This window comes from Homo sapiens, chromosome 8, assembly GCF_000001405.40.
Source record: "Homo sapiens chromosome 8, GRCh38.p14 Primary Assembly".
Lineage (NCBI taxonomy): Eukaryota > Metazoa > Chordata > Mammalia > Primates > Hominidae > Homo > Homo sapiens.
In genome coordinates, this window is record NC_000008.11 from 35,151,822 (window position 1) to 35,153,152 (window position 1,331).

The 1,331-nt window shown below is 39.3% G+C and overlaps 1 annotated feature.

Annotated features, from left to right (window-relative positions):
• Positions 567 to 646: a silencer, noted in NCBI's record as "silent region_19104". NCBI's record gives its function as "represses an Ori minimal core promoter by ATAC-STARR-seq in GM12878 lymphoblastoid cells {active_cell/tissue: GM12878}" and the evidence as "EXISTENCE:reporter gene assay evidence [ECO:0000049][PMID:35858748]".

Here is a 1,331-nt window from a genome sequence, read left to right on the forward strand (position 1 = left end):
GCATCCACTAAAGAAACCATCTATACAACTGTATCACCCTGCCTAAGACGTGGTGGGTGGACAGTTTTCTGCTGTGGAATGTCAGTGTGCAACCTGCTCATCAAGCCCTCTGAAATTCCTAAGCCAGAAAGACTGCTACAGAATAGAACTCTTTATTTGAATGCTGAAAGCTCAGTACCTTTAAGGAGGTCCAAACTTCCTTCCCTGCAAACACCTGACAGAGAGAAAAAAGAGAAGGCTACTGATAGGGTTTCCCAAGGGTGAAAATCTTTGTTAATATTTGTTAGCAACATGAAACTGGGAATCCCCAGGCAGCATTTCTGTTCATTTAGCCTGCAAAATCCTCTCATTGTCCTTTTGCATATAATGGAGTTAATTCCCAGAGCCTGCGCTAAACTAACACACGATGACAACTTCCTCAGCTGGACCTGGGGAGCTTGCAGTGTGAGGTTCAAGAGACGATGATCACCTGTCCCACTGTTTTCTAGCAGTGATGAACAATACAAACAAACTTTTTGAAATCTGCCTTGAAGCCAGTTTGCATTGGTCCGTCCTCTGCCGCTTGTTACCGATAGGTGGAGCTGCTGCAAAGCAGATCAATGCATATACATGTACAGCGCCTACAGGACTATGTTCAACAGATAGCCGCTGAGACATGCATGCACTCTGGCATATCCTGACAGCTATCAGAGAAACCAGCCTTAATTCTGTCACCAAAAGTGATATTTATTCACTACGTAGGGGATTCATCCACAAATTAAAAGAGTATGTATTTGCCCAAGATCCAAATCTTGACCTTCACTTAAATAAACCTAGACTTTTCTTTAATCATTTTTGAGTTCTTTTCCTTAAATGAACTTAACTATAATTGACTTCATTAAAATATTTTACAAATATTCATTACAGTACAATTTCTTCAGCAAGTCCTACTGTTAGAGCATTGTTGTGGTCTGTTTTAACATATGACAAACAAAACTTCATTTATTTTCCCTGCTTACCAGGCATAGTTCTTCTGGGCTTTGAGAACAATACTATTTAATGATGCCATGGACCCTAGGCAAGAACAGAAGCTCTGACTTCAGTATTCTATCCAACAGAGGGAAGGAAAAAAATCAAAACCAGATCAAAGCACGTACACACACACGTACATACATAGACACATACATGTATATGAATGTATCTATCTTTCCTACAAAAATGTGCCCATGTGTTTTACTATATATCTTTTCATATCTTGACAGGAGAAGTGTAGTCATTTTATTGAAATTGTGTGCATAAAGATAAAGCCAGCTTAAAAGAACAGCAAGGAGTTGAACATTACTTCAATTCAT